Source organism: Homo sapiens, chromosome 1 (genome assembly GCF_000001405.40).
Source record: "Homo sapiens chromosome 1, GRCh38.p14 Primary Assembly".
NCBI classification, from domain to species: Eukaryota; Metazoa; Chordata; class Mammalia; order Primates; family Hominidae; genus Homo; species Homo sapiens.
Window position 1 is genome coordinate 56,808,041 of NC_000001.11, and position 19,533 is coordinate 56,827,573.

The 19,533-nt window shown below is 43.9% G+C and overlaps 1 protein-coding gene across 18 annotated transcripts in view, besides 1 other annotated feature; it reads right to left on the reverse strand.

Annotated features, from left to right (window-relative positions):
* Nucleotides 1–18,874, reverse strand: part of FYB2 (FYN binding protein 2) — a 108,126-nt gene extending 89,252 nt beyond the window's left edge. For 16 of the 18 annotated variants that reach the window (XR_007095697.1, XR_007095698.1, XR_946570.2 and 13 more), the window contains exon 1: nucleotides 11,242–11,364. Coding sequence is in view for 11 of the 18 variants with exons in the window: in XM_047448403.1 (XP_047304359.1) it covers nucleotides 11,242–11,250 (9 nt within the window). In the remaining 7 variants the exon portion in view is untranslated. Of the gene's footprint in view, nucleotides 1–11,241; nucleotides 11,365–11,527; nucleotides 11,680–18,727 lie in introns of those variants that run through there. The other 2 variants (XM_047448402.1, XM_047448401.1) reach the window with 2 other exon arrangements.
* Nucleotides 8,388–8,437: an enhancer, noted in NCBI's record as "active region_1079". NCBI's record gives its function as "activates an Ori minimal core promoter by ATAC-STARR-seq in GM12878 lymphoblastoid cells {active_cell/tissue: GM12878}" and the evidence as "EXISTENCE:reporter gene assay evidence [ECO:0000049][PMID:35858748]".
* Nucleotides 18,875–19,533: the final 659 nt, after the last annotated feature.

Here is a 19,533-nt window from a genome sequence, read left to right on the forward strand (position 1 = left end):
CAAGAGGTAAGTTTGGATTTAACAATGAGGTCAGATTCCAATACTCAAGATTGTTTTACTATACCACACTGGGTTAGGCCCTTTTCATACATTATTTTGTTTACTCTGCCACTATACAGCATTAGAGAAGTGATGAACTCCATTTTACAGATGAAGAAATTAAAGCTGGAGGGTTCAAGTCAACTTACTTGACTAAGACCAAAGAGCTAGTAAATAGCAGAACTAGACCCACTGACCTTGATCCCCTAGCTCTTTCTAGTATACTCCTACAGCCTCAATTCTTGGCTGCAAGCAGTCAAGAAATGCAACTAAAGGGTGTTTGAAAGACCCTTTATCTGGGACAAAATGTTTTCAGCCAAAATTGATGCTTGACAGCCTTTCTGCTTTCTAAATATGTATTCTTCTAATCCACTCAGTAAACCTCAGGATCTTCTTTACTCCAAGAACTTACAAAGCCAGACCTTCTTGTGAGAAAGGTTTACAGCAGCAATTAGTTACACACCAATACCTGACAAAGACTCCTGGCACCAGCTCCCAATTTCCTTCACCTTGGGAGGTTGCCAGCTGTGAGGGGCCAGCAACACATTCTGCAGCCTAGCTGGTTTCTTAGGAAAGAAGCATCCTTGGCCCTTTGGAGGAAACCATGCACTGCTAGCTTTAAAGAGAAACTGTGTACTGTATGCTGTAATAGAAAAGCATTAACTAGGAGAGCACTGAGTAGATCTGTATTCTAAGGTCACGTTATATCTCATCCCCATCTGTGAAATGGATATGCTGGTTTACAGCAGAGATTTCACTAATGATCCTTGCATGGAGAGAAAGCCGAATGATGGTAATCTTTGTCTAGACTTCCTGCCTGCCTTCTTCATTCATTAGCTTAATCAATAAATATTAATCCTCTATATTAGATGTGAACCCAAGCTACCAAGTTGTGCATCTATTATGTTGTTACACACACACATACACATATATAGATATAAATATAGCATACAATAGTTCTACATCACTATTCACATTGTGATCACAGAGACCATTCACATTGGCCACCATGTGAACAGCACCTATTGGAGTTGTGCAACTCAGTGGCCCCACTGCAGACTTCAGTGGTGACAGTGGTGAACAAATGTTCTCTGCTCTCACAGAACTTCTAGGCAAATGGGTAACTTTAAAGGTCTACAGAGATCATTCGTTCAATTACTAGTTCAGTGCCAACTATGTACAAGGTATTCTTCTAGACATGTGAAAATGCACTGTAAATTGTAAAACATAATACAAGTATATTATTAACAGCTATTTTCCTCTTCTCTCTCCCTCTGAATTTTTTTTTCTCTACATCCAGTCTTACCTCTTCTAGTTCATCCACTTCACTAGATTTGCTCTTCCTTTATTCCCTCTTGGGTTTCCTAACATAGTGACCAGAGCAGAGAAGACACTGTGAATATTTGCTGAAGGAATGAATGCCTCCATGCTTTTGCACACATGTCACTCTCTTTCCAGAATGCTCTTACCCATGTTTATTGTCTGAAAAATATTTGTTTTACTTGACTCAACCCAGCTGCAAGTCCCCAAGGAAACTTTCCATCAGGGATGCAGTGAGGGGTGGCCACTCCCTGTGCTCCTAGAGCTCCTGTCCCTGCTCCATTGCAGTGTTTATTACACTCTAATTGTTTTTTTACATTTTTTCCCCTTCCTCCCTAGACTAGGAGCAACTTCAAGTGCAGCAATAGGGTTAAGAACATGGGCTTTGGATTTAAAAGTCTTAAGGTGAAATCCTACCTCTCCGAATTCTGACTCTTTCACCTTTACAAAGCTATTTCACTTCTCTCTTTTCCTACCTCCTGATCAGTGAAGTGGGGATACAGCTTTTCACATCCTAGGAATGCCATAGACATTAACCTTGGCCTGGTGCCTGACACAAAGCAAACCCACGATAATGATATTTTGTTGAAGATAGTTGTGATATGGATAAAGAGAGAGGAGAGAAAGAAGGAGGAGGAAGGGGAGAAGGAAGAGAAAGAGGAGGGGGAAGAGGGAAAGAAGGAAGAAGAGGAAGACAGTGATTATCATGATGATCATGGTGATTTTTAGTGATGAAATGACTGTGGCAGAGTACATGTTCAGTAAATATGTTCAGAATTAATCAACCTGATGGTTTCAGATGGAAAAATTGTATCAGTTCTGTTAGGTGGCATTTTAGTTTCCAGTAATAGAAATGCTCCAATTTTGCCTCCTTCTTCTGCACTCACGGACATGAACTCATTCCATGAAGTTTTCTTGGAGTTTTCACTCCAGTCTGTACCCCTTGGCTCTAGTCATTCTGTGAAACTACCCTATGAAGTACCCTCTTCCCCTCACTCCCCTGTTTCCCACCGAGGCAGCTAACAATGCTAGTACAGAACAAGGGGCATGGGACCCACTCTGTAAACATTTAGTTCTGCTCTGTTTAGACTTAGACTCAATTCACACACCCATTTTCCACTCCCTCCCAGAGGCTACCTTTTTCTCTCAGCAAAATCTGAAAGATATCAAAGAGAATTTTAGCAAGATTTTTCTTTAAATAAAGGGCTAAGGAAACCAAATGGAGATGGCCTTGAGTTGGTCATATGGGCACTGGGTCAGACTTTGTTACTTAGCTGAGAGATGCCAGTTTCATGTAAAGAGCCAGAATAATTGAAGGGCAAAATGCATCAGGCACTGCTGCCTGGAACGCACAGCTTAATGGAACTTTAACAGAGATTTTTCTTTGGGTTAATTAACAAGAGGAAATAATAAGACTCTAATGTCAGGTGATGTTGTCATTTTTCTGATTTTTTGGAAGGGAGTTGTATTTGGAATACATTGCCCCTTTCCACGATCCTTCACATCCTCTGTGTTTCTCTATCACTGTATTTACCATCTTTTATTATCAATATCTGTTTACTTTTCTGTTTCTCAGTAGATGGTGAACTCCTTCAGTGGATATCATCATCATCAACAGCAACAGCAGCAAGAGCTAACACTCACTGAGCGCAGGTATGCACCGGGCATGATTCTAAATGTTCTCTATATATTAAATCATAGATGCTCTAGGGGAGGGACCGTCATCAGGCAGGTAGAATCAGAGAGGTCAAATAACTTGCCAAAGTTCACACAGCCAAAAAGTGGTAGCACTGGGATTCAAACCCAGAAGCTGAAGGTTTAAAGCACACATTCTATACGAGTTTCTCTCTCTCAGAAACTCTAGAATAGTGGTATTGTAACCAAGAAATTTAGCTTCAAAATGCATTTTAAAAGTTTTTCCTTTCTTGCTTTCAGCCTTGAAACACACTTTAAAACTTTCTTTCCCTCCCTTCCCACCTGACACTCCCTTGCACTGCCAGCTTATCTAATTATGTGCTTACTTAGAAATTCCAGGGGCTAATCTTGAAACAAACCAGCCCATGGCGACCCAGCTGTGAAATTCCAGAGATTACCTCCAGGCAGTTTGTCAACAACCCAGCCATTGTTGAGATGATGCCAGCCCTTGCTCCAGGTGGACCATGACTCAAGACAGTCACTGGAACAAGACAGGGTTGTCACAGCAAGTACCACAGACTATGTGGCTCAAACAAGAGAAATGTATTGCCTTACACAGGCATGAGTGGCAAAGACCAAAGTCACCCAGAGGTCTTGAGACTCCCAATCCAATGCTATTTCGTCCAAACCACAACTTGGAGAAAAGGTTGTTGTAATGGACCAAACAAACAAACAAACAAACAAACAAAAACAGCAGCAACATACACTTTTGGATGATTTTTTTAAAAGGGTGTGGAAGGTGGTTCTTCCCTGTTAATCTTTTAAAAGTTTAAGTGATAATGCTGCTTTGTTTTTCTACATCGACTTTTCAGTTGTTAAAAACCTTTCCTAACCATTTTTTTTTCCTTTTTCTTTCTTGCCTAAGATCACACTCTGGTCTTTGAGGTAAGCCATTGGCTAATTCATCAAAAGTGGAGGGTAGAGGGCTCAGAAAGTGGTTTGAATTCTGATGTCAGCTCTGCTACAAATTTTGGATTGGAGAATTTTGATTATATCAACAACTATGAATATTAGTCTAGGATTTTATCCTTTTCATAGTACTTTCAAATACATTATTCTATATAATTTTGTAGACAAGTAGTTATTATTAGACACACTTAGAGATGGGAAATCTGAAACTCACAGAAGATAAGTGATTTGCTCAAGGTCATATTTCAAGTAGATGACAGACCTAGACTCAAATTCAGGTTTCCAGTTTAAAGATTTTTTTAAAAACCTCTGTCCTATATGCCATTCACCATGACTATGGTAAAAAGAACCAAACTAACGGTTAGGAATGGGGACTCTGGAGTTAGACACAGTTTGAATTTGAATACTGATTCTACTCTGTCTGTAAAATGGGGAAGATGATTAACAGTAACAATACCATGAAGAGTAATAAGTAAAACCACCACTTTTTCCAGTATTATGATACAAAATTGCTTAATTATTATTTCTGAAGCACTTTATTTGTAACTTCTCTGTATTTAATAGGTCCTAACAAAATGTTTCATTATTTTGATTAATCTTTAAAAATCTCCCCAGGGGCTTGTTATTTCAGGTTTTACAGATGTGAAAAGCTAAAACCCAGAAGTCAGTGATCAGGGAGGAACACTGACCATGGTCGCAGGATCATTTCTGTCCGTTTTCCATGCTGAGGGGCAATAAACACTTCTCAGATTTCTTCTCTTGGGAAAGGTCAAAATAACAACATGATATAAAACACTTCCCAGGTTGATGGGGGAAGAGTAGTGCACACAGTTATTTACATAAATTCTCTCATTTTATTTGCTGATACGGTTCACTTATTAGTTGCTAGGATTGTCACAGCAAGTACCACAGACTATGTGGCTTCAACAAGAGAAATGTATTGCCTTACAGTTCTAGAGGCAAAAGTCCAAGATCAAGATGCTAGCAGGGTTGGTTCTTTTCTGAGGGTTGTTGGGGAAGGATCTGTACCAGACCTCTCTCCTTGGCTTGTAGATGGCTGTCTTCATGTTCACATGGTGTCTTCCCTGTATCTTCACATTGTCTCACCACTGTGCATCTCTCCAGGCTCAAATTCCCCCATTTTATAAGGACATCAGTCATACTGGATTAACCCTACTCATGAACTCACTTTAACTTGATGTATTAGTCCGTTCTTACGCTGCTAATAAAGACATACCTGAGACTGGGTAATTTATAAAGAAAAAGAGGCTTAATGGACTCCCAGTTCCACATGGCTGGGGAAGCCTCACAATCATGGTAGAAGGCAAAGGAGGAAGGGAAAAGGCATGTCCTACATGGCAGCAGGTAAGAGAGTGTGTGCAGGGAAACTGCCTTTTATAAAACCATCAGCTCTCATGAGACTTATTCACTATCACGAGAACATCACAGGAAAAACCCACCCCCATGATTCAATTACCTCCTGCCAGGTCCCTCCCATGAAACATGAGGATTATGGGAGCTACAGTTCAAGATGAAATTTGGGTGGGAACACAGCCAAAATATATCACTTGATCTCCTCTGTAAAGAACCTGTCTTCAAATAAGGTCACATTCTGAGGTGCTGGGGGTTAGGACTTCAACATGAGTTTGGGAGGGGTGGGTGACACAATTTGACCCATAAGAGTCCACCTGTTATTACTATAAGTTATTGTTTGTAGAATTAACTGCACTTTGAGTTCATGGAGCTGTTCTAAGCTCTTTAAACATATTAATTTATTCAAACCTTGGTTGAATGTTAAGATATAGGTACTATTTTTTCCTTTATAAATGAGATAACTGGGACACAGACAAATTAATTAACTTGCTCAACACTGAACAACTAGTAAACAGTGGAGCCAGAAATGTAAACCAGTCATGCTGGCTCAGAGTCTGTGCTCTTAAGCACCAGGATTTTCTGCCTCTGTGAGCAAGAAAAAATCCTTGCTCTCTGGGATCTCACAGTCTAGACCTGGGTCTGATCAAAGGGCCTAGGGTCTCTTGCAAGGCAGGGAAAGACCAACTGTGGCCAAGGGGTAGGGAAGGTTTCTCAAGGAGGTGTTGTCTGAGCTGAGTCATAAATGAAGTGATGTTCAGCACTCTGAAGAAGAGAATGTGCATGGAGATGCAGCAGGCTAGGAAACTGGAACATGAGGGATGTGGTGCGGGTGAGGAGGCTCGAGTTAGAGTATACAGGGCAGGCACCAGAGTGCCTCGGCTTTATCATCCAGGCCACAGAGCTTGGGCTGTACTCTGTGGGCAATGGGGAACAACTGGAGAAAATCTGGCAGTAGACTGACATGATCAGATTTTCCTTTTAGGACCATTTCTCCCCAGGGGAAATGTGGGTGTGTGGTTTGGAGAAGGGAAGATTTGACTCAATGGGAAAGTAATGCCAGGCTAAATGCTGAAGTCAGCATTGCTGCATAAGGCTGGCTGAAAAGGACATCAGCCCTCCAGTAGTACAGGTCACTTAATGTGTCACTGTCAAGGACTAAACAACACAATTCAAGAGGACTCTGAGGTGCAGCATCTCAGCAAAGATGAACAGGATGTGCCCAGTCTTTTGGACTTGTGACTAATTGTGTGATCTTTCCTTTTCTCCTTCTCAGAAATTCTCCCAGAACTCACAAAAAGCCTCACCCTAAATTATCTGAACTTAACCCAGGCCCAGTCTACTCTCCCAAGAACAAGCTAGTTAAGAGCAGACCATCCTTATAGTACAGATCCTCTCAGCAGGTCCACTTGTGTAGATGTTACCCTATCTTGTGACTTATTCCTTAAAAATGGAATTATTCATGAAAAACCCTCCAAAATTGCTCTTGAAGCCTACATGGGGTTTCACAGACATTTAGACCTGGGTTCTGTCAAAAATAAGCCAGGCGTGACCTTGGGAACATACTGCCATCCCAGAATGTCAGAGCATGACAAGACCTCAGTGATATTTAGTTGGACCTCCCATCTTAGAGGTGAAGCCTCTCAGTGGCTCTCTTGGCTTACAGGATAAAGTATATATGGCATTGAAGGCCTTTCAATATCCAGATCCTATTTGCTTATTGGGATTCCACTCTGGATACTCTTTTTTTAAACTTTCTGCTCTAGTAGCACCTTGCTGCCAACTATCCCCAACTATCACCCTGCCATATTACCCATCTCTGCTGCTCCGCCCATGCTCTCCCTTCTGCCTTCTCCCCCTCCTTCACTCGAGCGTTCCCTGATGAAATGCCACTTCCTCCTCCTCTGACATTCAGCTAAGACACCAGCTTCTCTAAGGAGCCCAGGATGAACCCCACCCCTTGTCAAGCATCCATACTCAGTGCTTCCATCAAAGCTTGTGCCTTCCTCCATCAATCTACTTTTCATCAAATATGAAAATTGTCTGTTTCCTTGACACTCTTCCCGGCAAAGCTGAACAACTAGATGGCATCTAGGATAGGGCCCTTCTCAGAAATTCCAAGATAGGGCCTGAGAGTAGAGTCTACTGAGGAGATCTGACTCTGAGTTTACCCTCAAATTGAACAAGAACATTCATGGAGCAGCCACTGTAAATGGGGCACACTGGATAAGTCGTTATGAAGTGTGTTGGCATTTTCTGCCTCTGTGGCTCAAATTTCCCTGTAAAATGGGAGTTTCCAGACTGGTTGGTATTTGAGAACTCTCCCACCTCCTATATTTTATAATTCCATGACTTGTGCAAATCACTTATAAGAGGCAAAAGTAAACTTAAGTATACTTCAACTACAACTCCAATGCTCATTCATCAAAAATTCAAGCACCATTTTGTAAGCTCCCTGACTGGCCAGCTCTCCCAGCTCAAAAATGCTACAATTATCCCTTGCAATGACTGTATAACTAAGTGAAAACCTACCTGGCTGAGGGCATGCACTAGGCTATACCTCTGATTTAGGAAAAGAAAAACCCATCAACCTTTTTGGGTGTCTAAACTATACAATAAAACAAAATTCTATAGGGTTCACTTTAACCTTATGTCTATGGGAAGAGAATGACTTTTTAAATAACTACACAGAAAGAAGGATATATATAATTGTCCTGATATCTGTTAATGAAAACAAACCACCCCAAAACTGAGTGGCCTAAAACAAAAAGCATTTTTCTATATTTCACAATTTTGTGGGATAGGAATTTGGACGAGGCTCAGCTGAGTTCTCCCTCTGTTCCACAGGGTGTTGGTAAAAGTCATTTGGCTGCATCTCACCAGTGGCTGGTCTAGTCTGGAGGGTACTGATTTTAGTCTTGCAGGAATGGCTAGAAGGCTAGGCTTAGCTGTAACTGTCAAGCAGAATGTCTACATCACGTGTCTCTAGCCAGAAAGTATTGGGGTAGAGATTACTCACATGGGAGCTCAGGGCTGCAAGAGTAAGTGTTCTCATAAATGAGGTAGATGGGGTATGACCTTTTATGACACAGTCTCTGAAAGCACAGAGTGTCACATGTACCACACTGTATTGGTCAGAGTAGTCATGATTTCAACCAAGGGATGGGAACATGGGCACCACCTCTTCATGGGAAGATGTCAGAGAATGTGAGGCCAAGTTTTAAAATCCCCCATATAACACATACTAAACATCTACTACACACCCAGTGCTATTCTAGATAATGTAGATATATTATCAAGATGATACCTCCTGCCTGGGCCTCTTCCTTGAACTCTAAACCCACCTATGTAGACCCCCTAAACATATTACGTCTAAAACCAATTCCTAATCTGCTTTCAAACCTGCTCTGTGTTAAGTCATCTTGGTAAACCTTGATTCCACTCTTCCAGATGTTCCAGCTTTACAAGTTGGAGTCATCAACAATTTTCTTTTTTTTTTTTTTGTCTAATCCATTAGTAAATCCTGCTGACCCTACCTTTAATCTATTTCCAGCATCTGACCACTTCTAGCCACTTCATTGCTAAGACTGGTCTGAGCCACCAACCTCTCTTGCTTGGATTACTGCAATAATCTCCTACCTGGTCAGCCAGCTTCTGCACTTTCTGTCCCTAGTATCTATTTTCAAAACAGTAGTCAGATGATCCTTTTAAAATGTAAGCTGGATTGCGTCATTGCCTGGTCCACAATGCCCAGGTGGCTCTCCATTTCGCTCAGAGGAAATGCTTGAGTTTCAACAATGGCCTCCAGGGCCCTATATCATCTGACCCCACTCTCTGAACACTCCTTCACTTCCTCCAGCTCCAGTCATTCCTTGAAACACCCACGACCTTCTGCCTCAGGGCGTTTATATCTGCTGTTACTTCTCTGTAGAATGTTCTTCTCTAAGATATCCACACAGCCCATTAATTCCTATACCTTTTCCAAGTTTCTGCTCAAATGCCACCTTCCATTGACACCTTTCTTGAAATGGTCTCATTGAAAATAGCAGTCCCTCTTCCTGCCTGACCATCCTTATACCCTTCCCTGCTTTGTGTATCTACATTGCAGTTACTGCCATTTGACCCATATATAGATTTTTTTGTCTTCTCTCACTAGAATATGAGGTTTAGGAAGGCAGGTATCTTCAACCGTTTGGTTCACTGCTGCATCTGCAGCACCAAAGCAGGACCTGACCACACAAACCATGTCCTCAATAAATATATATTGAATAAATGAATATTTTGTTAATTTTAAAAAATGAAACCAATCCTTCTTTCAAGATGAGAAACCACTCTTATTTCTCTCTTGATTTTTTTCTCTCTCTGAGCAGTGAAAGTTATATAATCATATTAGCTTATCCCATAAAAATGTGATTAGCTAACAAACATGCTCTTTTGTACATTTTTGTCTAATTTGCCTAACATTCTTCCTGCTGTCCTATTGTAATCCTTGCTAGCGATGCTTGGCTTATAGTTGGCACTGACACATGTAAGCTCATGTCCCAGCTCTGCTGCCAGTGGTATGATACTGAGCAAGTGATAACATTGTCAGTTACCTCATCTACAATAAATGGGGCAATGGCATAGACCACACTGTATTGTCATCAGATAAACTGAAATAATGGATGCCAGTGCGGATCCTGGCCCATCAGAGATGGGGAAAATGTAAGTCAGTTTCCTTTTCTTACAAGCACGCTAAATCTATTCAGCCTGGCACTTTCCCGTCAAGGAGGAGTTTCTTAAAAATTGCTAAGTGGTATGGTCGAGGTGGGGGTGGCGGGGAGAACTCAGAGGAGGGAGATGAAGTCATACCAACATGCCCCTGCTCACCCCTTTCCAAAACTCAGCTATTTGGACTGGAGTGATTTGCCACAGAGAGAAACATGCCCTTTGCCCTGAGACAAAGGGGAGCTTTTCCTGACCAGCAAAAGCTAAAATGGATCCTCTGCCCTGATTTAAAACCAAACTTGTGGGTGAGAAGCCACATGATTCATGGGAGAAAATGACTTGACTCCAAATATATAATAAAAAGTATGGAAGCAACACACACACACACACACACACACACACACACACACACACACACATGCACACGCACATCAAAAGAAACTGACTTACTGAAGACGGAAATAGAGGAGAGTGGAGAATTGGAGAAGGAAAAAGGAAGATGTGGTCAGTCAGGCAAGACGTCTCCAACTGTGCCAACAGCACTCAGCCATCCAAGGGGCAGGGAATGCTGGCGTAGGGCAGGATACTTTTCCATACATCTCTATTTATACAAGCACCTCTGATAGTCTCACAAAGTAGTTATTGTACCAGTAATTCTCTTTCATGAGTGAGGGACCCAGGGCTCAGGATGACGGACACACTTGCCCCAGGCCACACAGTTAACAAGGAGCAGAACCCGGTCTAGAGCCACAAGCCACAAAAGAGCAATGCACAGCCGGCTTCCTAGCACCAAGCACTGCTCTCTGACCAGGAGGCCCGCTAATCACTGCAGAGGCCAGATACAGTCCACAAGGGCAAGTAAACACAGAGAGAAGCCAGCGGGCGCTTCAACGGAGGATCTGGGAATAGGTCAGGAGTCCAGCTGGCTGGGTAGAGCTAGGCCACATGCTGTCATTCCTCAGCACCTCCTGTCCCCTCACACTCCAGGTGGCACAGGACATGGCACACTCCTCTTCCCTCCCACCCGCCCTGAGCAAAGCCAGTGTGAGCAGAAATGCACTGGCTGACACCTGACATGTTTATTCCTGCCCAGGAGGCAGCACACACAAGCAGTTTTTCCCCAGGGCTCTCAAGTGGGAGGAACTTGTCCTGCAAGAAAAGACACACAGAAAGCCAGCAACAAAACTGAGACAGCCTTACCCCTTCCATTGCTTTCCTCCAAGGCAGAGTCAGGGAAACAAGCCCAGCCTCTCAGAGCTGGGTCCTGGGGCCAACAATCCGCTTTCCTCTGTCTCTGCTAGCCAGGGAGCAATCACTTCCCACAGGACACACCTGAGCCCAGGCTCCCCACCTGCCCCATCTGGGCCGAGGCTCCTCCCTTGCCTGGGGCTGGGCCAGGGCCGGCCGCCATCCTCCCAGCTTGGCTTAGACCAGCACCTGCAGGGGACTGGGGAGAGTACTCCACCTGCAGTCCTGCCAAGCCCACCTCTTCTCAGCAAGCGGCTCTTCCCGTTGCTCCCCTCCGGCTGGTCTGACAGTCACTCACTCTCCAGGGCATTTGTGCCCAGGCAGCAGGAGCTGTGAAGGAATGGGGATGGCAGGCTCCTGTTAGTACAGACCATGCAGGCTGGACAGTGTGATCCCCGTTAGTAACAACCTCTGCCAGCTCCGCCCCTGCAGACGGCTACTTAATTTCACAAACCCTTTCTCACGGTCAGGGAAACCAAAGCCCAGCAGGACAGCATGCCTAAGCCCACAGGGGGATTTAGTGGAGGCCAGAAAAGGAGTTAACATAAAGGAGCACCCTGTTTTTGGCCTGGTGTTTATTGAGGCATTTGGATTCCCATTTTAAAAGGTGAAGAATGGCCGGGTGCAGTGGCTCACACCTGCAATCCCAGCACTTTGGGAGGTCGAGGTGTGTGGATCACTTGAGGTCAGGAGTTTGAGACCAGCGTGGCCAACATGGTGAAACCCTGTCTCTACCAAAAATATAAAAAAAATTAGCCAGGTGTGGTAGTGGGTGCCTGTAATCCCAGCTACTTGGGAGGCTGAGGCAGGAGAATTGCTTGTACCTGGGAGGCAGACGTTGCAGTGAGCCGAGATCATGCCACTGCACTCCAGGGGGACAGAGTGAGACTCCGTCTCAAAAAAAAAAAAAAAAGTGAGGAAACTGAGTCTCAGAGAGATGGTAACACCTGCCCATGGTCACATAGGTAGTAACTAGAAGAGCCAGGGTTGGAACCCAGATCTGGCTGACTCTAAAGTGATTTTATTTTGCTGGGGTTATTTTTGTTTGTTTGTTTTTCTGACAGAGCTGGAGATGGAAACCCAAACCTCAGTTGCCAGTTTTGGGGCTTTCAGCTCTCCCGGGGTTGGGGATGGGCAGAGTGGGTGGCCTGCGCCCTGCTTTATGTGTAACCGGTGTGACTTTTCTTGCTTTGTCAAGTTCTTAGAAATCTTCTCCTGTCCTGACCAGGGAGAGGCGGGGTGGAGCACAGGTGAGGAGACCCCGCCTGAGGGCCATTTCCTCTAACAGGTGATTCCCAAACCTGGCTGATCACCAGAGCTGCCTGGGAATCTATCAAAAATACAGGATTCAAGTCCCAGACAAAACACTGCATCAATGCTTCTGGCCCAGGGACTGGCAGTTTGGGTTTTATAAAAGCCTTTGAGGTCTATGTATTTTAAACTTTATTAATGAATGACTCACAGTAAGATGTACCTTTTACATCCTTCCTCAACACACATACACATCAGCTAAAAGAAAAACTCCCCAAAGCAGTACTCACTCTTACCTTGTGTAATCGTGCTGATATTTTCCATTCTGTTCTGAGCCATGACATGCCATTGAATTAAATAAATGGTAGCACTTTCTTGACTTCATGACTCTCTGTTTGGCCAACACTGCTGTGTAGACTCTGCTCCCAGTCAGTTGGGGGGCCTATTTCTGAAGCTAAAGGGGACCCAGGCCAAAAGTCATCTGTAACTTTCCCTTAGCACTCTGGTTCATGCTCCTATGTGTATAAGTTTGTAAATAAAACAGTGGAGGAAGCTCTCGGGAGAACTTGGAGCCCTCCCCGCAGTCCCAACTGATAATTGGGCTGTCAAATTCCCTTTGCTCCTAGTGCAAGGGCTCCCCCTAGTGGCCTCAGGCCAGCCTACACTGGCAGAGTGGGTGGAGCAGGGCAGCAGGACTCTCATCTCCGCCTTCCTGGGAGGTCTGCGCATTTTGCTTTGGTTTCTGGCTAGTTACAGTGCTAGGTCCTAGGCACTAATCATTGGTAGCTGTTAGGGGTGGGTACTGTTTTGCCAGTCGGCTTAAGAGCTATGACTCTTGGAATGGCAGAGGATCCCTTGCTGTATGTCTTACGATCCTCTAGGTGCTAAACTCAGTTTCCCCACTAGCTGCTGGTCTTGGGAAAGTCAACTCTGAGATGTATGTTTCTCATCTGTAAAAGTAAACAAGAGTCTGGCAGCGTTGGCTTAAGGACAAATGGCCATGGGAAAATCTCCTGATAGGGTTGCTTAGCAATGAGTAAACACCAGTAATGTCAGTTCCTCTCTTTCTTTCCCCTCTCCTCCTCAATGGTTGGTGGCTGTGTCATTGTCAAAGTGCCCATGTAGCACTTGGATATACAAATGAAGTAGCATCATTTTATTTCCCTGTAATAATCCCAGTTTTCTCATGGGCCCCCATCCCATAAGTGGCAGATCCTTGTATTCATTTGCTATAAGGAGAACTCATACATGACTACATGGGAGGGTGAAGGCAGAAGAGGTGGGTACAAATTGCTGACATTGTGGGGAAAGTTTTGGATGGGAAATTTGAAGGTTGACCTAAGTTGCAACAGATATCACTACACCTTATGAATAAATATTTCAATTCAGTAAAGATGTATGAAATCCTGCTATATCCAAGGTGCTTTGGTGACCTCCTGCTAGCTTTAGGCCAGGGCAGATCTTACTGGCCTAAAGCCAGGAAGGTTCACTTAATCATGTATAAAGAAATGACTGACTGAGCACCTACTGCCTGCTGGGATCAGTGCCCCAGACCTTGCGAGCATCATTTTATTTAGTCCTTATTATGATCCTAATTTTCCAGCAGAGGAAACTGAGGCACATACAAGTTAAGTCTCCTCTTCAGGTAACACAACCAGTGGAAGATCAGAGACTTCAATCCAGGAAGGCTGACTTCAGAGACCATGCTCACAGGTGCTCTGTTTGCTTCTATTTAAATCGTAGAGAAATACAGAATCATAAACTCACAGCATTGGAGAGCTTGAAGGGTTCTTTGAAGCAGTTTTTTCCAAACTCAATTTTGAACGTAGTCTGTGAGAAAGCTTAGCAGATACTTAGGCTGAAGTTTGGCTCAAAATCTTCTAGATATTTCTAGTTGTTCAAGCCCCTAGTTCCAGTTTGCTCCTCTGCGTAGCAGGGATGACGTGCCATACTCTCCAAAAAGGGCCCATCCATTCTTCGGGGAACTGAGCAGCAGAAATCAGTATTTCCAGCACATTCTTAATGTTTCCAAACCTTACTTTCAATCTCAGATTCTGCTTGGAGCTCTGCAGTGTCTCCTATTATGTCTCAGTCTTTCCTCTCTCAGCAAACATATTACTTACACTTTGTATCATAAGCAATGGTGTGAAACAGAATACCCCGATGTAAAAAAAAAAAAAGGAGCATTTAAAACAGATCTGAAAATGGGAAATCACGTGTCCTCACCTCTTTCTAAGGTAAACTTTGAGCACTGTATGTTATATGATGACAAAGCCAGACTGTGTAGATTGATTGTCAGAGTTAGGCTGGTGCTGCTAGAGTAACCTATTATTAATATTATAATTCTTGTTGGTTAGATTAATCATTTCTGAGGATTTCCAGCACAACATGTAATTTATTTATGTATAATTTATATCCTGACTGCTTTCAAAAGGGAGAGAAGGAAAGATGAAAGAAGTGAAATTTATTGAGAGTCTATTGTGTAGCAGGCTACACAGTTGCATATATTTTCTTCTATTCCTCATGACAATGTTGTGAGATAAGAGATGCTATCTCTGGTTGATGAATGAAGAAAGTGAGGCTCAGAAAGGTTAGGCAGATGTCCTGGCCATGCGGAGAGTACAGTTCTGTTTCTCCATCTGAACTCTGCCCTGCCCTAATCCATTGCTCTTTCCTCCATTCCATGGCGGCTGCAAAAGGGGTTGAGGGAGTGGACCATTAAAAAAACAGGTAAAAAGGATGATATGAAATGAAGATAATAGCCATGTAGAAGACAGGGCAGGTGGGAAGCTAGGAAGGGATGGATAATCAGGACAGAAACATGGGACAATTCGTATAAGGTATACAATTATTTAAAGATAAAATATTTAAGGATAAAATGCCTAGAATTATCTTGGAGGTGTGTGGGTTCAAGAAAGGTCTTGCTTCCATTTTACCAGTTTTTGAAAAACATTTAATCCAGCTGATCTCTCCTTTGCCTTGAATGAAGCTCGCATCTCAATTTTGTGCTCATCTAAGTAAACATCTTAATAAGTGTGTAATAATATAGTAAGAGCTTTTTTGAAGGATGCTAAGCAAACATGACCAAGACAAGTTGCTTTTCTTTTAATTGTCTTTTAATAAGAATCTCAGCACCTGCTTTGAGCCAGGTGCTGTGCTTGGAGCTAGGGATGTAGCAACCCTTTTGGTTCTTGTAAAGAAATGGTCTTCCCCCACTAATGCCAGTTACATTATGTATGCATCACTCAGATGAATTATTAAGATGTTTTCTGATATGCTTGTCTTGTTGAGATCAAAGGAACGCCATTCCTCTGTGGGGAGAAGATGGGGCTTGCCTGGAAGTAAGAAATCTTTTCCAATGTCAATCACTCCCATGTTCCATCATCCAGAAAAGTGAGTCTTTAGACAGAAAACTCAAGCAGGGAACCCCCGTCTCTCTTTGGGTTTGTTTTTCTTGGGTCTGGACTTCAAGGCATAGACATACCACATGAAAGCCATGTTTAGAGGCTCAGAGTACTAGGATGTAGGAGTGGTAGGTCTCTCCACAAAATCCGCAGGTCAGTTGGTATCTTAGTCTGTTTGTGCTGCTACAGCAAAATACCTTAACTGTGTAATTTGTAAACAGCACAAATTTATTGCTCACAGTCGAGGAGTCTGGAGCAAGATGACTGCAGTTTTTGTGTCTCGTGAGGGCCACATATCTGGTGAGGGCCGGTCTCTGCTTCCAAGATGGCGCCTTGAACACTGCATCCTCCAGAGAACAGAAGGGCTCAAAAAGGCCCAGCTAGTTCTCTCTGGCTCTTTCATAAGGTATAAATCTCTTAAGGTTCAACATAAATTTTGGAGGAGACACAAACATTCAAACCATAGCAATTGGTATGTGACTTATGACTCATAATTTAGGTAGCTGATTTCACATATGTTGGAAAGTTCTATCAAAGTCTAAGAGTTTGAACTGTTTCTCCTTATGAGGAGTTGGGGAGGCATAGCTTCTCTCTCACACTCTTGCACACTCCCTTGCATGGACTTAAGGCAGGTATGTGCACATCCCAGTGTTTGCAAAGGCATGGCTCCTGCTCTCAGGAGTTGCTGTTTCCGACCCTTTGTCATCCTGAAAGCAGCCCTAGGGATCGTACCTCCTTTTCTGCTTTAATGTCTATTTTTCTTCCTCATGTAGCTACATTTACAGAGTGGCCAGCAGCCCAGGCTCACACTGCCAAGAGCTGGTGTGACAGCTTATAGGGAGGTGGGATGTGGCAGGCCCCACTACCATGGCCCCATGTGACAGATCTCAGTTGGCTAGTTCTGAATGAGGATGCTGGATGAAGACAAGCCATTTGGCCTTTGTTCATATTGCAAGGTAAGAGTCCTTTGTCATCAAAATGAAGGGCTCTTGGGAAAGGAGGTGGCCTGTGTCAATGAGATCCTGTTTCCCATTGTCTCCTAGAGCAGAAGATGCTACTCAAGCCACAGGGGAACAATCTGCATGCACATCAGCCAGGCGGAACTGAGCATGGAGGTCAGTGTATTCATTCAAAGGCATCTATTGCTGTGGCAGTTAATCACCTATATAAACATTTGTAGAATTGAATGACCTCATTTGATGCTCACAGCCAGCTAATAAAGAAGGCAGGGCACATAATGAGTCTCCATTTTACAAATGACAGAATAGCAGCTCAGAGAAAGGATTTCATCAGGGCAGGATTTGGGGAGTGTGGCATGTGGAAGAGGAGGAGGGAGTTGGGAGGTCTAGAGAAGAGTGCTATAAACAAGCAACAGAACCTGGAAGCTCCACGCTTGATGTGGTCACCCTGCTCACCTGCTCCCTTCCTTTCTCTTGGCTTCCACCTGCATCCTGCCCATGCCCACATCCATGTCTCTTCATCCATTCAGGAAATGCTTACCTAATTTCCACTATGGTCTAGGTTAGGCCAAGATACACAGCGGGGAACAAAATTCACACTATTCTCACCCTACGGAACCTGTAGTCTAGTTAGGGTGTAAGGCACTAAACAAACAGCTGAATCATATGAGTACTCATACCCTCAAGTGCCATGAAAAAAATAGGGAATACAATAACAAGCGCCCCCACTTTGTCAAAGACAGTCATGAAGTCCGGTCATTCCTGAATGTACTTACTCATTCATCCAACACATGTTTATTGAACACCTACTCAGTGTGTTGGGCTAGGCTTTGTTCTATGGATTGAGGACTCACAGTGACCCACAAAACCAACTACCTGCTGCATTTCTCCCTTGGGTGTTTCATAGATACCTCAAACTAAACAAGACCATAATTTAATCAATGATCTGACCCCCAAACCTGCTCCAAGCAGCATCAAGCTCATCCTCTTTCCTGAGCAGAAAACCTGGACTTTCCTGACTCCCATTGATCCTTCACCTCTCAAGTGCAGTGGACTACGCCTCACTCAACAGCGTTCAGTGAGCATGCCTGCTAGGCACGCATTCCCACAGTGGGTGCCCGATGGTCACTGGCACAAAGTAGGCATAATCTTTGCATCAAGGGAATGAGAGTCTAGCTTCACCTCAGGAGATGACTAGACCTCAGAAACATCCCTTCAATCAATGTGGTTCCCTCATTCCCCTCTATGGGGGGTTGTAGGTTTAGTCCTGGGAGGGGTACCCCCTGCCTTCAATCCCCCACCTCACACCAAATGAGTCTTCTTAGTTTTACCTGATTGATCTTCCCAAGACAAATCTGACCATGACACTCCACCATGGAAAACATCCTCTAACTCTCTAATGCCTACAGGGGCAAGTCCAAATCCTTCCCAGGACATACAAGACTCTTTAGAATCAGCCCCTTGGTGCTTCTCCAGCCTTGGCTCCCATCACTGGGCTCCCTATACTTGCTAGACTGAATTTCTTCATTTCTGAGCTCTCCATGCTGCATCTGGCCTCTGGATGTTGGCCTATCCCATTTTCTCTACCTGGAATGCTGTCCCTTGCATACCTGTTACCCACCTGTGCCATGTCCCTTAACCTTCCAGAGCTAGTGCCAGTGATGCCCCTGCATTGAGCCTTCTCTGATGACAGCAGAAGGTGATTTACTTAGTTCTGTATTTCCACAGTTCCTTCATCATTCATCCCATAATTGGTCTTGCAACAACACAACTGGTTTTATTCCTATCCATATGGTAGCCTCTGTGAGTCCTTCATAAACTCACCACCCTCCCAAGTATTTCTGAGGATCTTCAAAGGCAGTTTCCCAAGGGCCCCCAAGTCCGACTGTCAGCTGGACCCATCACAAGTGGCATTCACCATGGTCTTTCTTTCCAGCTCCAATCCAGGGCCCACAAAGCTGTTGGAGGAATTTCACTACTGCCACCAGAGGCCATCCATTATGACAACACCAGTGTTCTTGTGTGGGCTTGCATCAGACTAGGCATGAAGAACTTCTGGTGCATAAACTCATTTTATTTTCACAACAACTGTGAGTGGGCACTCACCCCCCATTTTACAGATGAGAAAGCCAAGACCCAGGGAAATGAGGGTCACGCAGATCAGGTTAAAAGGCTGGTCAGTGGGAGGGCTGGGGTTTGCCTTTGGTCAGCCCCATCCAGAACATGTATTCTTACCTGCTGTGCATGGGCCATACACTGAGCCTCTGGACTCCAGCTCAGCTCACCACCTTGCCTTTGTCCCTCTGCCCATGTGCCTGTCTCTGTCAAGTAGGCAGTGGGGCCTTCAAGGGCAGAAATTTGTTCTTACTCATTCTCTACCTAGCTCAGTGCTAACCCTACAATAACTGGTTTGTTTTTTTTTTTTTTTTTTTTTTTAATAAACATGTTACCTTTCTGGTGAGATTTCATTTGGTGGGATTATTTTCCTTTTCTCATTTTAGGTCTAAGCTTCTTCTCAATAGCTGGTCAGCCTCATTTACAGCCAAGGCTTTAGAAGGACCAAAGTGATTTGAGAGATGTATGGGTCAGGAAAGGGTAGAACCATCCTCCACTGTAGTGGGAGCGTTAAC